Genomic DNA, 21,233 nt, shown 5'->3' on the forward strand with positions numbered 1-21,233 from the left:
TTCATTGATGCCTTCCCTGGTAAGATTCTACTTTGAACAGTAAGTCTATTCCATTCATAGAACTAGCTAAAGGTAATTTGTTTTTCAATAAATCCTCATTTCCAATATTCTGGATGGCCTCTGGCAGAAAATGTTATATAGCTATAAAATGCAATCTTTCATCAGGGCCATTTTAAGACTTTTGCCTGTCCTAGCTACTTAATTTTGGAAGCTGCATCCTATGTTATATCAAAAATTAAAATGTAACCACACTCTATATTTAACATAATTAAAACACAACTCTAGATGATTTGAATTATACTGGACTGGATGACATAGTACTACATTAATAAACATTTATTAATTGTGATTTTATCATTTTCATTCATATTTTTAAGCCAGTAATTTTTTTCAAGTAATTTTTTAGGCCCTTGGAAAACTAATAGCTCTCAGGTTCTAGGCTTACAGTGGTAACAGATAAAACAATTCCTGTATTTCATAATTGTCTAATTAGTTACTTTGTATAATTGCACTGGATTTTGAATAAGGAGAAAAAGGCCTCCCGCACTATTTCCTAGTAATCTGTGTCCACAAGTCTATTTTCCCTACCTGCTATGTTTGCCTAAGACTGGTCATTTGTTACCTGCTAGTTCCAATTGATTTCCTTTGCCTTTGCCTCCTTTAGCCATGAGTGCAAAGAACAGACCATACGATTTATACCAGCCATCTAGTACCAATCATTAGATAACAAGACCCTTTACTGAAAGCATTTAGAGTAAAACAATACTTTAGGTTTACCTTTGCTTTCATTTCCTTCTTTATTACACTAGGTTCAAAGTGAGGCCAAAAATGGTATCACAAGGCCTATTTAGACATCCAAGCAAAGAATGCCAAGTCATTCTAAATAAATCCCCCAGCTGCAGTAGAATTTTACACATTTTCAAGTGCAAGTTTCTAATAACATTTTTGGGCTTGTTTTTCCCCTTGTCTGTTTCAGTCACTGTCTTTATATATAAGGGGAAATGAGTCATATTAAATTATGCTCCAGCAAATGTCCTATAAAGACATATCTAAGCCATCCTGTTTGCTAATAAAAAGATAAGATTTGTCCTCTGAAAGAAGCAAGGTTGAACTATGCCAAAGAGCTTACAGCCAGAGTTAGACAAACCCAAAGTCATTAGCTGGTGGGGAAATCTGAACTTGTGGCCTTTCTTCAAGTGGGAGGAGTAGGAAGGGAGTAGCAGGGACCTGTCAGCCTTGGAAACTCAAGCTTGTGGCGAGAGGCTGGGAACTTCCTGTGGTTACTAAGAGGCTGCGATACCTTGCATAGATGTCCTGATAATTGTTTTCTAAAGTTGGCACTGCCTACTGGCTTACCGTTGCTAGTAGAACATTATCAAAACCGGGGTCTTCCAGAATTATAGGTCTCTAAGACCTACATAGAAGAAATAAAGGTCCCTTGACCTGTTGCCAAATGGTACCACAAGAAAAAAAAGCCCTTATTTCAAACTTTGAGCTCAAGTTAACTTCCCTACTTTGTAATTCCCTGATGGATTCCCTGATTTACTCACCTGATTAGATTCAAAGTCGCACAGACTAATTTCAATATTTTCCATGGTAAATACAATTAGGTAGACTGGTCTGCCACAAATCCTAAAGCCAAATACACACGGTTGTGAGATTTTTAGATTCTCCTGTTTGGGGTTCTCAATTCAGTAGCATGAATTAGTACTTACATATAGAAATGGCTAAGAGCATCCAGCATACCAGGTAAATGAGGTGTAAGGCAACACGAGATGGCACAGACCAAGGGGTTAGGAGAGGCCATGCTCCATCTAAAGGAGGGAGCTGCTATCAGGTATGGCTGAGTGTTGCCATGGAGAAAACTGGTTTGATATGGCCACATAATCTGATACTTCAAGATAAATCAGAAATTTGGATTTTGGGGTGAGGTTTTTCACCTTTTTTTTTTTCACATTGTGTTAGCCAAACTACATGTGTCTACAAACTGACTGTAGGCCAGAGAGACAACAGTTCGAGACCTAGTATGAATCTTGTTTAATTCTCTCCCTTTGTCATGAAGAAAAGTGATAGTTCCACTGTCATTTTTGTGATAGTACTACTGTCTTTTTTTTTTTTAGACAGAGTCTTGCTCTGTCACCCAGGCTGGAGTGCAGTGGCACTATCTTGGCTCGCCACAACCTCTGCCTCCCAGGTTCAGGTGATTCTCCTGCCTCAGCCTCCTGAGTAGCTGGGATTACAGGGGTGCACCATCACACTCGGCTACTTTTGTATTTTTGGTAGAGACAGGGTTTCACCATGTTGGCCAGGCTGGTCTCGAACTCCTGACCCCAGATGATCCACTGGCCTCAGCCTCTCAAAGTGCTGGGATTATAGGCGTGAGCCACTGTGCCGGGCTGTCATTTTTTTCTTCTCATTATTTAGCCTTAGCTGATCTCAAAGACTTATGAAACAGTAAAGCAGATGTCAATGTCTCCCTCTCTAACACACAAACAGACATATACTTTCTTCATTAAAAATTACAGAAAACATTTAAAATATGAAGGTTCATCATGTGGATAAATTATTTCAACCTCATAGAACACAAAAAGCCCTGTTAGGCTATACATCTATTTCATTCTTCTTCTTTACTATTGAATTTTAAAATGTGTGCACAGTGAGGTGACCCTTATATCAAAGACTACAAACAGTGCTTAAAGATATGCAGCACCTTTTTAAAGAAACACACCTTCTTATAAGCACAGTTAAAAGGGAAAAGGTTAAAGGCTACAGTAGATTGTTCTATTCTGTGCCAAGATTCTGCTCCAGCTGCAACTAAATAGTGGTTCTCAGGCTTAATTAAATAAAGACCCGTGTAAATTCTAACTGTTTACTATGTGATTAGAACTTCTCTGGGCAAAAAGCTCATATTTGATTTCCTTGCTGTCTGCACTTGCCCAAACCCTTTACCCACCAGGTATGTACTGAAGCTGTGTAAACTCAACATTTTTCTTTTGGAATCAAGGGTAAGATATAAAAGTTTATAGAAACGGTGAGACCCAATTGTGGAAAATTCATTTTATGTAAATGGAAAAAAAGTATTCTATATATTAGAACCAATGTTGTCATGATGAAATTTCTTTGACTAGGCCGGGCATGGTGACTCACACCTGTAATCACAGCACTTTGGGAGGCCAAGGCGGGTGGATCACTTGAGGTCAGGAGTTTGAAACCAGTCTGCCAACATGGTGAAACCTCATCTCTACTAAAACTACAAAAATGTGCTGGGTGTGGTGGGGCACACTTGTAATCCCAGCTATTCGGGAGGCTGAGGCAGGAGAATTGCTCAAACTCAGGAGGCAGAGGTTGCAGTGAGCAGAGATCACGCCATTGCACTCCAGCCTGGGCAACAACAGCGAAACTCGAAAGAAGGAAAGAAAAGAAAGACAGACAGACAGAATGAAAGAAAGAAAAGAAAGACAAACAGACAGACAGAATGAAAGAAAGAAAAGAAAGAAAGAGGAAGGAAGGAAGGAAGGAAAAAAGGAAGGAAGGGAGGGAAGGAGGGAGGGAGGGAAGGAGAAAAGAAAGAAAGAGAAAGAGAAAGAAAGAAAGAAAGAAAGAAAGAAAGAAAGAAAGAAAGAAAGAAAGAGAAAGAAAGAAAAGAAAGAAAGAAAATTTCTTTCAATAACATTGAGAGCAGTAGTTTTTAACCTTTGTGAAAAATCATCTAGAGTGCTTGTTAAAAATGCAAATACACAGGGCTTGTCCCCAGAGATTTACTGTGACTGTAGGGTGAGACCTTTCAAATGTTTGAACGCAGGAGATTCAAAGATCACATTTGGAGAAGCACCTATCTAGAGAAAAATCCTACTTCCAAGTTTAACGTTGGAGAGCTGTTATCTGAATTCATCTGGGAAAAAAAAGGGTTTATTCTTAATAATGGGGAGGTGGCAGAAATTGCCTCTTTAATTTTACCCATTCTCCAAGTGTCAAAACGTAATTGATAATTAAGATTATGTTCCCTTTAATATTTTTCAAATTTAGTTTATTTAGATAATGAATACCACATGTCCTTCAATAATTTTAAAATTCAGTTAATTTAAAAATTGTATAAATAGATTCTGAGATACTAAACAAATATACAGTCAAATTTTTTATGTTTTCATTTGAACATTCTGGGGAAAATAAGCATACTTTAGAAGCAAGCACATATAAATGCATAATTCAGTTAGGTTTTTTGTTTTAATTTGTCCTTGGCATTGATGAAAAACAAATTAGCTACTCTCCTTGGGTGCCTACCAGAAATAATAGTAACAAGTTGAGCTTTTTTCCTCCTCAGTAATATGTTCCTTTGTAGATAAGCACAGTGGAGAGGTAAAATGATGTATAAAAAGTTTACTGTTTTTTTTTTGTTTTGTTCTAAGATGTAAATGATAGGGGAAGGACTGGGAGCTATTTCAGAAATATTTATTCCATTGAGACAATGAATTTTGGTCATTAGAAGAAAGAATCATGGACTATCAAAATGAAACAAAAAGACAGCAGATTTATTTCTATAGCAAGTGTCTGTACATAAAGAGCAGGCACACCTCACAACATTGTACATTTATTGTCTTACAAAATGAACTGGGGTTGAGGTAGATGTAGTAAGGAAAAAGCTTTAATGATGTGAGGCAAATTTTTAAGAGAGGAGATGTTTTTATTTTTAAAGAATTCAATAAATATAATGATAGTGTTAAATGTTTTTGTTGTTTTTTCTCTCAAAACTATTTGAACCACTTATTAATCTCCAGTCTGTTTCATCAATCTTTTATGATGTGTTACAAGGAGTTTCTCAAATTTAAACTTCATTACATCATTTTATAGTTATAAACCCTGACCACTATAATTCTTGGTCCTAACTAGGCTATGAAAAGAGGAATGTATTCATTAGGCTAGTACAGTATGGGAAGCCTGTAGTTTAACCAAGGTTAAAACAAATAAGATGCCAAAGTTCACAATTTTAAATAAACTCAAGAACCTGAAAAAGATAATTTAAAAACAACATAGTGCATTTCTATAGTTTGTCATTATTTCATCTCTTATGGAAATATGCAGCAATGATGGTCTTTTTCTATATCTAGAAAAAATACATAAGTGATTTTTAACAGTAAGAAGTTATTTGTGTTTGGATTTCCTTCGCCACAGCTTCCTTAACTAGCTCCTGGGTAGAATTCATTAATTTTTATTAACAGGGAAAACATTTGTTCCCGTGACAATATTTGCATTGCCTGAATGATTTTCACCTCTGCCACAAGGTGTACTATCGGCTCATACATCACCCGATTACTTGGAGAGCAGAAAGACCCTCAGTCATTAGTGAGTGAATTAAAGATGATCTTAAGAGCTATTAATCACAGTGACAAAAGCCTTAATGTTTCTGTGACCCTAGTGGAGCCTGGGGACCCAAAGGGAAGCAGAGGGAGAGAAAATGGAAACATATGTTTTCTCCAAAATAACCTACCTTAGGAGAACTGTCAAAAAGAGAGTCACATCAAACTAAGAAATTCTGCCAGCAACTGGCCTCTGGATTATGTGTCTATTTATCTTCTTGTGAACTCATATTTCCTTTTAAAATATATATTTTCTTGCTGTAGACAATTAGAGGGCCAAAACTAGTGTCTTCTGTATCTTTGATTTCTTAATTCCGTTTATTTAGAACGACTTGTGCTTCTGCTAAACTGCATTTCTTGAAAAAATTCAACATAAATTGCATTCAGTCTAATAACCACATAAATCAGTATAAAAACAAGCAGACAATAGCAGTAAAGTGCCATTATAAACATTAATTCAAGCAGATACAATATTCCAATAATGGACCAAAACGGTAACATTATTAAGCACTACAGTCGGTTACAAAACTTGATCATTCTTCAATGTATCTGGCTGTATTTCCCTGGATGTTTACAAGATTATAATGGCATCAACTCCACTGTTAATAACATAGGCACTTGCTGGAATTTCAATTATCTTTCACAATATGTTGACATAAAAAACAGACTACAACTGGCTATTTCTGAATATGGTAAGAAGATCCATATCCCCTTATTTGTATGCACGTCTTTGTTTACATAGCTGAGGAAGAAATATCACATTGTGCTTATGTTTTGCAATTGGTTCTGAGTCTATGACGCAAAAAAAAAAGGGAAATTCTGGCTAAATCGCTTTTTTTTTTTTTTTTTTTTTTGAGACAGAGTTTCGCTCTTGTTGCCCAGGCTGGAATACAATGGCGCAATCTCCGCTCACCACAACCTCCGCCTCCCAGGTTCAAGCGATTCCCCTGCCTCAGCCTCCCAACTAGTTAGTATTACGGGCATGCGCCACCACGCCTGGCTAATTTTGTATTTTCATTAGAGACGGGGTTTCTCTGTGCTGGTCAGGCTGGTCTCAAACTCCCGACCTCAGGTGATCTGCCTGCTTCAGCCTCCCAAATTGCTGGGATAACAGGTGTGAGGCACCGTGCCTGGCCCTAAATGGCTTTTCTACACGTCAGTTTCTTCAATACGATTTGGATTAGCAAAATTAATGGTGAAATTATAGTTTTCTCTTTTGACATTGATACTATGTTGCCAAATAAAAAATCCTTTTTTTCAATCACTTTTCAGTGCCTAATACAGTAACTAACACATAATTAGGGCTCAAAAACTATGTGTTAGACTGACTGAATTGGATAAATATTCAATGTTATTTATATTGAAAAACAAATATGACTCTGGATTAAGAATATTAAAAATTTTTGGAAATTTTTTATTCTCAATAAGTTTTTATGTTTTGACTAAAGAGTCCAAGTCAATACAACTGAAAATACTTGAGCTTGAACGACATAACAGGATTATTTTATTCATTAGAAAAAATATATTTTAAGGGTAATTTTCTTTCTGGAATCATAGAGAATAAAAGAGAAAAAATTATGAAGAAGTTATTTTGCTACGGCTAAAAATAATTTCAGAGTACTTTAAAAGTCTCGTGAGTAAAATAAAATCTTTTATGAACCAATTAGAGTTTTGTATTTGACTTTATGATTCACACAGCTCTGTAACTAGATTTCATTATTTTCTCCATCTCCCAGATAAGGAAACCAAGGCTTACAATATTAAACTAATATTCTCCACTGTCATAAATCTAATTGGGGGTGGACAATGCCAGATTTTCTGGCTTCAAATCCAGTTAACTTGCCATTGAACTAAGCTGTGTCCCAAATACTTTGAAATGCAAGGAAAATGTATTGGTTAACTAAAATCAATCTATTAAATTGGGTCTCAGATAAAGCCTAGTTTCTATACAGGAAGGTTTATTGTTAAACGTATAGGAGACATTCAAATATTAACTTTTTTGCAATTATTAGTCATAAGAAGAGAAAAGTTTAAGGAACTCAAACCGGATCCCATGATAGAATCTCCAAGATTAGTTAACATAATATTCACAAAAGCACCTTCTTTGATAACCACAGAGATTCAAATTATAACTCTCTCCATTTAACAGAGTCAAACTTTTTGGAATGTAATTCTTGGAGACAAAAACCTTCTTTATATATTTCCCTCTTGTCCACCTGTAACACCCAGCAAATAGGGGTAAAGCTATTCTTGAGTTAAAGAAAAATGAAAAGCGTAGATTTATAGAGAAACGTGTTTTCATATGGCATTTTTCCTTCTCTCCAGGTGCTAAAGGGGGTCTCAGAGTAGAGTTCAACACTTAGATTAGAACTTTTTCCTTAAAAGCAATTAGAAAGTTATTTTTGAATGGCTAGACCAGACTTCCTAAACTTTTAGCAGAGCCTAATTGCAATGTCATATATAGAGTGACAAGAAATGCATAAAAATCTCATCCTCCTAAAATGTATCAAGGGATGTTTTATTATTCAATGGCTCCAGGAAAGTATACGACACAACCATGAGCCAAACACTAGTTTTAGCACTCTACGTATATTAGCTCATTTAATCCTCATAATAGCCCATGAGGTAGATATGACTCTCATCCCCATTTTATATGTAAGGAAATTGAAGCAGTAATATTAGGAAAAAGAATAAATGATTTTTAAACAGCCATAATTCAAACCCTGATTGTCTAGCTCTAGAGCCCACGCGCTTTATCCCTAAACTATACACCTTCTCACTCTGGGCTTCACCCAGTAATAGCTGCCCAATTACAGGATAACAATAAGAACATTTTGCTTGTTTTTTTTTTAAAGATTATTCAATCCTAAATCATAAGTATTCAAGTTTCTGAGTCAAAATTTGACATTCAAACATTCTTAATTGCACCAGCAGACCCTGAGACAATGGTTCAAGAGTCCGTAGTTTATTTCAGAGGTGGTCCCAGGAAACGTGTGTTAAGGGAGTATGCAGTGAGACAGAGAAGGGCCAGAAGTCAACAAAGGGTGTGCTATCAATCGAGTTAGCACTAGGGAACTCTAGATCAGCACAGCTGAGGTGAGGGATCTGGGGTTTTATCCACCGATTCCCATCAGTCATTTGTTGAGAGCTTATCCCAGGGGATGTAATTCCTCACACTTCTGACCTGCCCCATGCTCTGGCCGGGCAGTCTCAGGCAAAGCATTTGGAAGTCACGTGAATATGCACAGAAATGGTGAAGGGATATGGATGGGGTACTGGCTGGCCATAGAGATGGCCACAGCCAGCACGTGAAGAAATGTTTCAGGTACTATCGGGTTTTCTTGTTCCAATATGCAGTGTTCGATCCAATCATTTAAAACCATGTGTGTTTGGCAAATAAAACAACTTTTTATTAATCTTCTGTCCATAGTATTTATTAATTCATTATTTTCAACCAAAATTTACTGTAATTGTGAATCTAGGTTGGGTGCTGGGGGCAAAGATTAAAACATAAATTAAAAACAATCTCAAGCAAGACCTACAAATTACTACCCACAAAAGCAAAGACTGATAAAACAGGCTACATTAAAATAAGACCTTCTGTTCATTTAGAGATAGCATAAGGAAAGAAAAGACAAGCTAGGAAAGATATTTAAAAATATATATAATTAACTAAGGATTAGTATCCAGAATATTAATATTATTAATATTATTTAATATTAATATAGTTAATATATTATTAACTAAAGATTAGTATCCAGAATATATTAGTATCCAGAATACTTCTAAAATAAAACAGACTACATTAAAATAAGACCTTCTGTTCATTTAGAGATAGCATAAGGAAAGAAAATACAAACTAGGAAAGATATTTAAAAATATACATAATTAACTAAGGATTAGTATCCAGAATATTAATATTATTAATATTATTTAATATTAATATAGTTAATATATTATTAACTAAATATTAGTATCCAGAATATATTAGTATCCAGAATACTTCTAAAATAAATAAGACTAAAACAAAAACTCAATGTTAAAATAGGCCATAGACATAAACAGGATTTCACTAAATAGGAAACACAAAAGGTCCACAAACATGTGAAATCAAATGCAAATTAAGGCTGTAATGAGATAGTATTTTACATCTCCTAGATGGGCAAATAGGGTAATACCAAGTGGTATAAACATGTGAAGAATGCAGAAACTCTTGCACATTGCTGATGTGTGTGTAAATTGGCACAATTACTTCCAAACAATATTGTACTATCTTGTGCTATATCCCTGACATGCCAATTCCAGTCTTGTACGTACATACTAGAAGACATGTTTGAGGCTGTTCTTGTCCACATTCCTTATATGAAAAACTGCAAACCCAAAAGACACATCCACAAGAAAATGAATAAATAAACGGTGGTATAGTCACAAAATGAAATATTATACAACAGTGAAAATGAATAACATGGGTGAATCTTGGAAACAAAATATTGCATGTAGAAAAGCAAGACCCAGGAAAAAATTTCTAACTCAAAAACAAGCAAAGCCAAACAATATATTGTTTGGTAATACATACATAAGCAATAAAACCATTTTTTAAAGTAGAAGAATGATTAAAGTTCAGAGGAGGGCTTACTTCTAGAGTAAGGCAGAAGAATGAAATAGGGAAAATGCACATAGAGAGATAAAATAATTTGGTTGTGTTCCACTTCCTGAGTTAGGTAGTGAGTTCACAAGTGTTCATTTTATTTTTATATTCCATTACTTCTACATATATCATATATGTTATGTTTTATATGTGTATATATATATTCTTTTCAATATATCAAGAATTGTGTAATAAAATAATAATAATTAAGAAAATTTTGCTTGGCTGTACACAGCTCACAATCCTGTTTGGAAGCCTTCTTGTTGAAATGCGAAATGCTTTAATAGACAGAGAATCAAAACAGAGGGGTTGTGGAGCCCATGCTGGGGCCAAGGAAGGTTTCATGGAGGAAGCCTTGAAAGATGAGTAAAATTTGCCAAGTGGAGGTCCAAGAAAAGCATTCCAGGCAGGAGAAACCCAATGAGCAAGGGATTGAAGGAAGATGGAAGCCTGTTGGCATGTAAGGTGCTAGAAGGGTTGGGGATGGGGTGGGAGGAGGGAGTGGGGTTGGGGTGGGGGAAGACAACACTCTAAATAGTTTGCAATTGAGTGAATTGACAAGGTTTGGATTATTTTATGTCAAGTTACAATTGTCATACTTGTAATGAGACCTGTTATCATTGCTTATCTTTTTAGGGATAAACCATATGCCCTCCAAAGCTTCTGAAGGAAACAACTTCTCTTTCCCCTTCATATTGGTGATGTTGGGAGGGGGAGATGAGAAATTGAACACAACTAGCCCCTTCTCTCCACCAGTTTAGACAGCTCACCCCAGACCCAAGAGTCAAGTAATCACCTCTGGATATGAAGAGATATTCATGTTGGGTGGTCTACCAAGGATTAAATGCCAGGATCATTGAGAAAATTTCATCTCATTAAAGGCACAGAGGCCAGCTGATCCTCCTATCTGCAGAGCTGACAATACCTTAGGTGCACAATTAATTTCCCAAATAGTTTAAATAATCTAGAGGAGCAGAAACTGCACTGACATGAGGAATACAGATAACAATGAGTCTAATAATCCTGGACATTGCTCTGGGCAGCCTGGGTAGACACACGTGTAGCCATTTCCCAAGCTGGCTGATGTGACAGCTCAGCCTGAGCTGAGTGGACAGACAGAGTCCATGGCCCTCCAGGAGAAATTCAAGCCACTGGTGCCTTGGACAGAACCTTCATCTCTAAAGCAGCGCAACCAAGATATTCACGTTTCTGTGCTGTATGACAAAGATTTTGTACCAAATGAAAAATGTTACAATAATAATAATTTCTATCACCAAACAATACTTTGAGTGTATATAGCAACTTAACTATTTGAATCATACCCATTTTTAAAACTCTGTACCAGTACAAGCCTGTTAGCACATTCACTGACATATACTAGTAAGCATATGTCCTTTTCACCAAACCCAAGAATTCTATCTTTATCAAAAAATAGAAAGACTATAGGAGACAGAAAAATGTTCATTTTACATTTCCTTAGCAAATCTGAGATGCACAACATCTCAAATCTCAGATAACACCATGGTATTACGTGCATGTAGAAAGACTTTAGTTGCTACAATGGACTTGTCTGCAATTATGTCAAATATGCATAAAATTTTTGGCAGATGGGAATATCAGAAATAAAAGATGCTTTTTTTAGCTATGTTACACTTCTTCTTCTCTTCTTTTTTTTTTTTTTTTAAAAAAGGGGGGGTCTTGCTCTGTCACCCAGGCTGGAGTGCAGTGGTGCAATCTCAGTGCACTGCAACCTCCACCTCTCGGGATCAAGTGATTCTCCTGCCCCAGCCTCCTGAGTAGCTGGGATTACAGGCACCCACCACCACGCCTGGCTAATGTTTTGTTTTGTTTTGTTATGTTTTGTTTTGTTTTGTTTTGTTTTGAGATGGAGTCTCTCTCTGTTGCCCAGGCCGGAGTGCAGTGGCACAATCTCAGCTCATTGCAACATCCACCTCACAGGTTTAAGCAATTTTCCTACCTCAGCCTCCTGAGTAGCTGGGATTACAGGCACATGCCACCACACCCAGCTAATTTTTGTATTTTTAGTAGAGACAGGGTTTCACCATTTTGGCCAGGCTGGTCTCAGACTCCTGACCTCAGGTGATCCACCCACCTCAGCCTCCAAAAGTGCTGGGATTACAGGCATGAGCCACCATATCCAGCCAATTTTTGTATTTTTAGTAGAGACGGGGTTTCACCATGTTGTCCAGGCTGGTCTCGAACTCCTGACCTCAGATGATCTGCCTACCTCAGTCTCCCAAAGTGCTGGGATCAGGGTGTAAGCCACCTTGCCCAGGCTTGTGTTACACTTCTTATGAGTAACTTCTATATGCCATTAAAGTATGAATTAGAGAGTTTTAATAGTCTGCTTTTATTTTCTAGTAAGCACAGAAAACATAAGAGGTTGCTAGTAACAAGATAAAAATATCCATAGTGACTAGGCAGGTAAGTATCCCAATTAGGTGGGTATACTAATGTAATCTCTTCCATGCCAGGAAAGGAAGCTTCAGATGTTTCATGTCAAAGAATCATATATTAAGGAGATTGTAGAGACAATCACCACTAACTTTTAGTGGAAGAATAAAGACATCAAAAGAGGCAAACAGGCAAAACAAACAAATAAGAAGAGTTTTCTAAAAGTGAGGCTATTGCAGATGAAGGCACAGAAACAGTTTTTGTGGTCTCTTTTCTACTACTGGACTCAAGGTGCCCCATAACTTTGGAAACACCACCATCGATGAGGTTTTCACATTTTTTTTTATCTATAGTTTTTGACCCTGAATACAGAATTGGTCAAATGGAGTAGTATCTTTATGGCCCTAATACATTGCTTTGTATTACAGTCATTTGAATGGAGGTCTGTATTCTTTTCAACACTTCCACAGAACCTAGTCCAGTGTCTAACATTCAGTAGGTGCTCAGTAACTGTCTGCTGAATTTCAGTGAATAAACCCCTTGAAAGAGGAGTTATTCCACCACAGCATCAAAAAAAAAATTCACAATGAGTTTATAAAGATTATGTTTTCTACTCATAATATTTGAAAGTATCTACCAGAACTGGGATTTCTCTCCTTCCAATCTGCTTTGAAATTTCTTGGTATCCCATGGAAAAGAATATATTGCTAATGGAAATTCCAGTGGGGTCTCTTCCCTGTGAGCAGGCTCCTTGACTCTCTTCCAAATGCCACCATCAAAGATTCCATTCATGCCCCTCACATTAGGTCCCTTCATTACCCTCACTCAGTCATAAAATATTTATGGTGTAACTATTGTGGTGTTTAAGGCGCTGCACTACTCTCTGTGGGGGGAAGGGAAGGGGGAAGAAATGTAGCCCCAATCTACCCCCAGACCTATTGTGACCTATGAAATAGGTTTGCATTAAATACCCATGTTTATATTGTAATATCTTTGCCCATCTTAGGAACCAATCACAGTGTTAAGAAGCAGGGAAACAAAACAAAAAACAGAATGCCTTCTCTATCTGCCCTCAAATAGTTAAGGCTTTAACCTGTCTTCTGTTCCCATCATTCCATGAAAAGCCCTTCTCTGACTTTGCCAACAGCCTCCATCTTATCCAATCCCATGGCATTTATTTTATTCTTCATTATCCTGTTTGAACAGGCTCATCTCCTGTCAATACTCTTCCGCTGTTTCCCACTGACAGTGCTGGGTCTGATGCTTGCTGTGCTCATCTGAAAACACAGCAGAGGTCAGTTTGGGCTTTCATTTTAGCAATCGCTCCCTGAGGAGCAGAGGGAAAAGTCCAGCTACTCTGAACAACTGCTTCAGTTCTCTCTGAGGACAGAAGAGGACTCTCAGCACTAGACAGTTAGCTCTGGCTCCTCCACTCTCTTGAGGTCTGTGAGCCCTTTTCACATCAAATCCCACTAAATAGAGAATTTCTTATAATCCCCATATTTTCATCCCCAAACTCACTCTTTCATAAGTTTCTCGTAACTGCATCTCAGGGCTCTTTCTTCGTACTGATAGCAGATAACTTTGGAAACATATTTAAGTTATCCTTTGCCCTGTCTTTCCTACCGTCTACTTCCAAATCTTTTTCAGAGTTCCTGAAGTATCATTTTGATCTTGTTGCCCTTACTCCCAAATCTTATGAGGACTCTCAGTTCTCACATCAAGGAAGATACCTGAAAGCCTTTACCAGATGTGTCACAACATAGCCCATCCTTCTCGTCACAGATTTCTAGACACTCCCCATCAAATTTTCATGAGCAACACTGATATGGTTTGGCTGTGTCCCCACCCAAATCTCCACTTGAATTCTATCTCCCAGAATTCCCACGCATTGTCCGAGAAACCCATGGGGAGGTAATTGAATCATGGGGGCTGGTCCTTCCCGTGTTATTCTCGTGATAGTGAATAAGTCTCATGAGATCTGATGGGTTTATCAGGGGTTTCCGTTTTTGCCTCTTCCTCATTTTCTCTTGCTGCCACCATGTAAGAAGTGCCTTTCACCCCCCGCCATGATTCTGAGGTCTCCCCAGTCATGTGGAACTGTAAGCTCAATTAAACCTTTTTTTCTTCCCAGTCTCGGGTATGTCTTTATCAGCAGCATGAAAACAAGTAAATTGGTACCAGTAGAGTGGGGTGTTGCTGAAAAGATACCCGATGACTTTGGAACTGGGTAACAGGCAGAGATTGGAACAGTTTGGAGGGCTCAGAAGAAGACAGGACAATGTGGGAAAGCTTGGAACCTCTTAGAGACTTGTTGAATGGCTTTGATAAAAATGCTGATAGTGATATGAACAGTAAGATCCAGACTGAGGTGGTCTCAGATGGAGATGAGGAACTTGTTGGAAACTGGAGCAAAGGTGACTCTTACTATGTTTTAGCAAAGAGACTGGAGGCATTTTGCCCCTGCCCTAGAGATCTGTGGAACTTTGAACTTGAGAGAGATGATTTAGGGTATCTGGCAGAAGAAATTTCTAAGCAGAAAAGCATTCAAGAGGTGACTTGGGTACTGTTAAAAGCATTCCATTTTAAAAGGTAAACAGAGCATAAAAGTTCAGAAAATTTGCAGCCTGATGATGCAGTAGAAAAGAAAAACCCATTTTTTGAGGAGAAACTGAAGCCAACTGCAGAAATTTGCATAAGTAGGAAGACCATGGGGAAAATGTAACCAGGCCATGTCAGAGACCTTCATGGCAGCCCCTCCCATCACAGGCCTGGAGGCTCAGGAGGAAAAAGTGGTTTTGTGGGTGGGCCCAGGGTCCCCATGCTGTTTGTAGTCTAGGAATTTGGTGCCCTGTGTCCAAGCCACTCCAGCCATGGCTGAAAGGAACAAACATAGAGCTTGGGCTGTGGCTTCAGAGGGTGGAAGCCCCAAATCTTGGCAGCTTCCAAGTGGCATTGAGCCTGTGAGTACACAGAAGTTACGAATTGAGGTTTGGGAACCTCTGCCTAGATTTTAGAAGACGTATGGAAATGCCTGGATGCCCAGGCAAAAGTTTGCTGCAGGGACGGGGCCCTCATGGAGAACCTCTGCCAGGGCAGTGCAGTAGGGAAATGTGGGGTCACAGCCCCCACACAGAGTCCCTACCGGGACACTTTCTAGTGGAGCTGTGAGAAGGGGACCACCATCCTCCAGACCCCAGAATGGTAGATCCACCGACAGCTTGCCCTGTGCACCTGGAAAAGCTGCAGACAATCAGTGCCAGCCCATAAAAGCAGTCAAGAGAGAGGCTCTACCCTGCAAAGCCACAGGGGCAGAGCTGCCCAAGACCATGGGAACCCCCTCTTGCATCAGTGTAACCTGGATGTGAGACCTGGATTCAAAGGAGATCATTTTGGAGCTTTAAATTTGACTACCCCACTGGATTTTGGACTTGCATGGGCCCTGTAACCCCTTTGTTTTGGCCAGTTTCTCCCATTTGGAATGGCTGTATTTACCTAATACCTGTACCCCCATTGTAGCTAGGAAGCAACTAGGTTGTTTTTGATTTTACAGGCTCATAGGTGGAAGGGAGTTGCCTTGTTTCAGATGAGACTTTGGACTGTGGACTTTTGAGTTAATGCTGAAATTAGTTAAGACATTGGGGGACCATTGAGAAGGCATGATTGGTTTTGAAATGTGAGGACATGAGATTTGGAGGGGCCATGGGTGGAATGATATGGTTTGGCTGTGTCCCCACCCAACTCTCAACTTGAATTGTATCTCTTAGAATTCCCACGTGTTGTGGGAGGGAACCAGGGGGAGGTAATTGAATCATGGGGGCCAGTCTTTCCCTTGCTACTCTCATGATAGTGACTATGTCTCACGAGATCTGATGGGTTTATCAGGAGTTTCCGCTTTTGCTTCTTCCTCATTTTCTCTTGCCACTTGCCCTGCCATGATTCTGAGGCTTCCCCAGCCATGTGGAACTGTAAGTCCAATTAAACCTTTTTTTCTTCCTAGTCTCAGATATGTCTTTATCAGCAGCATAAAACCGAACTAATACAGACACTCTCCACGCTACACAAATAAGCCTGGTCTTCCACAGAGCCACCTTGCCCTGAGTTTACATCATAGAACTTGCTAAGCTACCCTCCCTTTCCTGATAATTAAGTGGGTAGTAGTTATGTGTGTTGTGCGTTATCTTTATCTACCTTTATTATCTTAAATCCCACACCTGCACCCACTGTGAGGTCACTATTACTGTTTTTTCAGTTAAGGAAATAAAGACTGAGAGAGCTTCTCATGATCATATACCTGGTGTCAGAACCAAGATTTGAACCCAAGTCTGCCTGATTCAAAAGCCCATGCTCCTAATGACTATGCAGTGCTACTGCCCTCATCCCTATCAGGATGGCTTGTTCAGGGGGTGCACCAAGCTTTAGGCACTCCCTGCACATGCCATTGTGGTTCACTAAGTGGAAAATTAATTAACAGTTACTGAATTTTCAGTTATTTTTTTCAGTATAATTTTGTCAACAAATAAATACTTACAGGTCTAAGAATTTTTTATGTTATGAAAAGGGATCCTCATTGTAAAATATTGAAATCCAACTCCTTCATTTTATCTACAATCTAGAAGATTCTACATTAGTTCAAGTCGTCCTCATCCTTGAGATGTAAAAGAAATTGCTCTGAACCACCCAATTTCTTGACCCCTTGTGAAGATGTCTACAATTCCCAAGGGTGGAAGAATTAAGTCTTATTGGTGCCCTCTGCCACCCATGCCCTAGAGTTCTCCTGCTCCACCTCCATCTTCTCCTATAAAAATGCACCTTCTCATTCAGTAGCTAGAAGGTGGCCAGGCAAAGCAGGCATTTTGTAAATTTTAGTTGACTGGGGGAGGGAACAGATGAATAATGCAGGATGTGAGGCTTTGTAGGTTAAGATCACAAGAAGAGGTGGATGGTTATCTACTATCTCCCCCCACCAAGAACTTTTCTGACTCTGAGTTTGAGATGTCCAAAGAAAGGCAGAATCATACCTTTCTCATTGATTCTTATGTTTACAAAGTACCTTTATAAAGCGTCTACTGTGTTCCAGGTACCATGTTAATTTCTAGAAGTAAAAATGTCAACTCTGTCACTGTCTTCAAGGAATCCATAGTGGGAAGCAGAGCACACAAACAGATGTTTACAGCACAACATGATGAGTGGTTTATTACACACAAAGTATTCAGGAAACAACTAAGAGGAAGAAAAACCATCTCCACCTGGAAAGACTGGAAAGGCTACACACCAGAGCTCAAATTTGAAATACATCTCGAACAAGGATTTGGCCATGCCAAGACAGTTGAGTGGAAGGAAGTACATTCTAGGCAAAGAAAAAGCACAAATGTGACCTACAAATGAAAGATTGGTGAGTAACTCTGCATAGCTGGAATATAGGCATAAAAGAGAAGGCAAGAAATGAAGCTGAAATGGTAAGTCAGAAGTGTATTATTTAAACCCTTGTTTGTGGTGCTAAATGGCTGGGCAACTAGGAGTCATGGTGTGATCAGATCTGTAGTTTGGAAATTCAACTGGAAACTGCTATGGATGAGAGCTAGGAGAGGGGAGAAATTAGAAGCTATTATAGTGATGATGGCAACCAATGGTGAGGTGATCTTTAGGTCATCACTGGAACCTGACCTATAGTAGACATTCAAAAAATATTTTCATGTAATTGAATTTGTCTCATGAGCTCCTTGATCTAATATACTGAGCAACTAGCCTTGCTACCATATCTTGTAAAATGCCACTCGTGTTATACGTTGTGGGAATGCTTAGGTGCCTGACCAGGATTTTAAGAAGATATAGAACTAACTTAGTATTTATTTATAGGTCGCCCATCACATGCTAAGCATCTTCTATACATTATCTCATTTGTGCCACACAACAATCCTTCAAGACAGTGTTTTCACCATTTTACACAGGAGTAAAATGATGTTCAGAGTAACTAATAAACAAATTTATCCAACTAGGGGTAAAGCCAGATTTTTAATTCAGTGTACATCTAACTTCAAAGGCACCTGTAAATTTGGGATATTATGGCAAGAGAGGTACTGGTAAAGCCACATTATCTTTAATCAAATATTTTAGAATAGCATCCACAGGAGTGTGCATGTGAGACCCCTGGCCTGGGAAGAGGAGTTTGCATCCTGATTTCCTTTTTCACTGCATATGGCAGCAAACCATAATGAGTCAGACATTGTCATAACACATTGCATAATTCCAATGAAGCATTCACATCTCAACTACTCTTGATTATTTCCAATTCCGTAATAAATGAAAGAGATCAACTGTTCGGTGGTTTGAGGAGGGTGGAAAATCATTTAATTCTTAAGTACCATTAAATATTTAATACTATTATAAGGAGGTAATGTCACTTTCCATAATACATTTGGCTTCAGGTACACTGGAATCCAGATTTTGACACCTCCATACCATGATAAATTTTTGACCCTGAAATTTTATTTGAAATCACGACTCCAAAATCTCCTGTAGCCAATCTACCAGGAGTAGTATCTGTCAACAGAGAGAACATCATATAAAGACCTTAACATTTTGAAAGCAAAGCCAAATGAAGCTCAATCACGAAAGGTCTTTTCTTTCTTTAAGGTGAGAGATGGAGCACAAATGAAGCATACCATGGTAAATAGGAACTGTGCTCACTTGCAGTCATGCACTATAGCCATTAAGCCTTAAGGTCTTAAGGTACTAAGCAATGCATATGATAAATTTCTCAAAAACATCCCAGCCATAACATAGTTCTTGCTGATTGCTCATTTACCCATAATGCATGCTGTCATAGCAAAGCCTGACAAATGACAGAGAAAGCTCAGGTTATTTTTTACACTGACTGCCAAGCCCCTCACCTCAGATTATTCATTTATTAGGGCAATCACTGAGGTCTGGGTACTTAATATTGTTTTCACCAAATATGAAAATGATCTACTTGCCTATTCTTTAGTTCCTCCTAGGGCAAGCCATTTATCATCAGCTCAGGATAAATGACTGCTTCATTATAGCTATAATTTATGAGGTGTTAGAAGTAAAGAGCCACGCCTAGAGACTTAAAGCTTTAATATGGATTAAAATAAGATAATCAATCAAGCTAATACAAATTTTCCCTCAGCATTATTTCTTGTTTTGAAATAGCTTAATAATTTGGTGAGGTGGCGGTAAGCTATGTTGAATATCCCATTATCCAACTACATGCATGTATGTCTGAGACAATACGTAAAGAAATATAGGATGTGATACCATCGGAAAAAAAGAAATACAATGAAACCATCAGCTGTAATTGGCTGAAATCCTCACTTTCCTTAATGGTGTCAAACTGGAGACCAAAGAATTACAAAGCAGGTGTAAACTTGGGTAGCATATTCCCTCTAATTCTTTTTCCTCTGTAAGAATATTGTAGAAAGATTGCTGCTGTTTTACTTTTCCTTATTCTCTCTACAACAAAGAAACACTGGGGAGAAAAGTTATGTCCCAATAACATGTCAACAATTTTGCTTTCTTTTATGTCTGAAGGTTTCACAACTCATAATTTGGACAAGAGCAGCTTCTTACTCTGTCTAGGGAATAAAGAATATTTCCCTCTAAAATGGCATTACGGACTTTAAAGAAATTTTTTCTGGTTTGCATCTCAATTTTATAGTTATTAGGCTATGCCAGAACAAATATTATTTCTGAAATATGTGTCATGCTCAAGACACTAACGTAAACCTATTTGGCCACTTGAGTGAAAAGCTTTGAAGACTGTACGGGAAATTCACGATTTAGTACTTTAAACACACAGCACCAGGAAGAAAATCACCACAAGAATTAACAAATCAGCAGTCTAAAGCCAAAGACTCCAAGGTGCTAATTAAAAAAGCTTCCAAAAGTTCTTGTTATTTTTTTTAAGGCCATGTTCCTTGCAGGTGAGACAAATAGGCCCCTGCTGCCTCCAAGCAAATCTTGAAGGAAACTTCCAGCAAGGCCTGGTGACTGGAAACTACTCAGCCTTGAAATTAACATCCCTAAGAAAAACCTTTTCCACTCCCTCTAGACAACAGCAGCTTACATCTTCAGGACAAAACGAAAAAAAAAAAATGATGACAAAAAAGAGGCCAGAGAAGACAGTTGGAGTAGTCACGCTGTGTTCTCTTGAAGGGAGCCTTCATTCTTTACCTCAGAGAGAGAGCGTGAAAACACACAGATCCTGACAATGGATTTAGTCAACGTGGCCAATCTCCCTACTTCCTTACACGTACATACCACTGAGTTTACCTTAAAAAAGTAAAAGCAGAAATTTTCACAAAAGCTGTGCATCAGGAGCTGTTATTACAAATGAGGCCAAGGCTCTGCATAAGAAGAAAAGGATCTTTCACAAGTTCATAATGGGAACCGAATGCAAAAGCCATATAATTATAATCCAGAATATGGCATCCTATGATATAAAATATTTCCACTTAGCTTAACTGTTTTCCATTCAATATTATTTCCAGCAATAAAAGCCTCTGGAATATCACTCAAACTGGTTCAAGTTAAATTCCAATCTAGATCTTTGTTAGCTAAAGGACATTTTTTTAATCCAGTCATCTTTCTCCACCCTACACATAATTCAACAACAGCCCTTCAACAGGGATAAAACAATTTAAGCTCTGAAGTTGTTCTATGCATGTGTGTGTGAGATTTTCATGCCCTATGTATTTGGACTGAAAATACTTCTCTCTGTCTCTCTCTCATTTAGACTTTATTTAAGATGGTGAAAAAAAAAAAAGCAAAATGTGATATTCACAAGTGCGCAG

General features: G+C 38.2%; 1 protein-coding gene and 1 long non-coding RNA gene across 7 annotated transcripts in view; one reads left to right on the forward strand and one right to left on the reverse strand.

The window, feature by feature from the left end:
* Positions 1–21,233, reverse strand: part of MECOM (MDS1 and EVI1 complex locus) — a 580,206-nt gene that overhangs the window by 346,553 nt on the left and 212,420 nt on the right. The gene's annotated exons all lie outside the window — the stretch shown is intronic.
* MECOM-AS1 (MECOM antisense RNA 1) overlaps positions 17,808–21,233 on the forward strand; it is a 29,186-nt gene continuing 25,760 nt past the window's right edge. The window contains exon 1 of the long non-coding RNA NR_134932.1: positions 17,808–17,876. This is a non-coding gene — a long non-coding RNA (MECOM antisense RNA 1). The remainder of the gene's footprint in view (positions 17,877–21,233) is intronic.

The sequence above is a fragment of the Homo sapiens genome, chromosome 3 (genome assembly GCF_000001405.40).
Source record: "Homo sapiens chromosome 3, GRCh38.p14 Primary Assembly".
Taxonomy (NCBI): domain Eukaryota; kingdom Metazoa; phylum Chordata; class Mammalia; order Primates; family Hominidae; genus Homo; species Homo sapiens.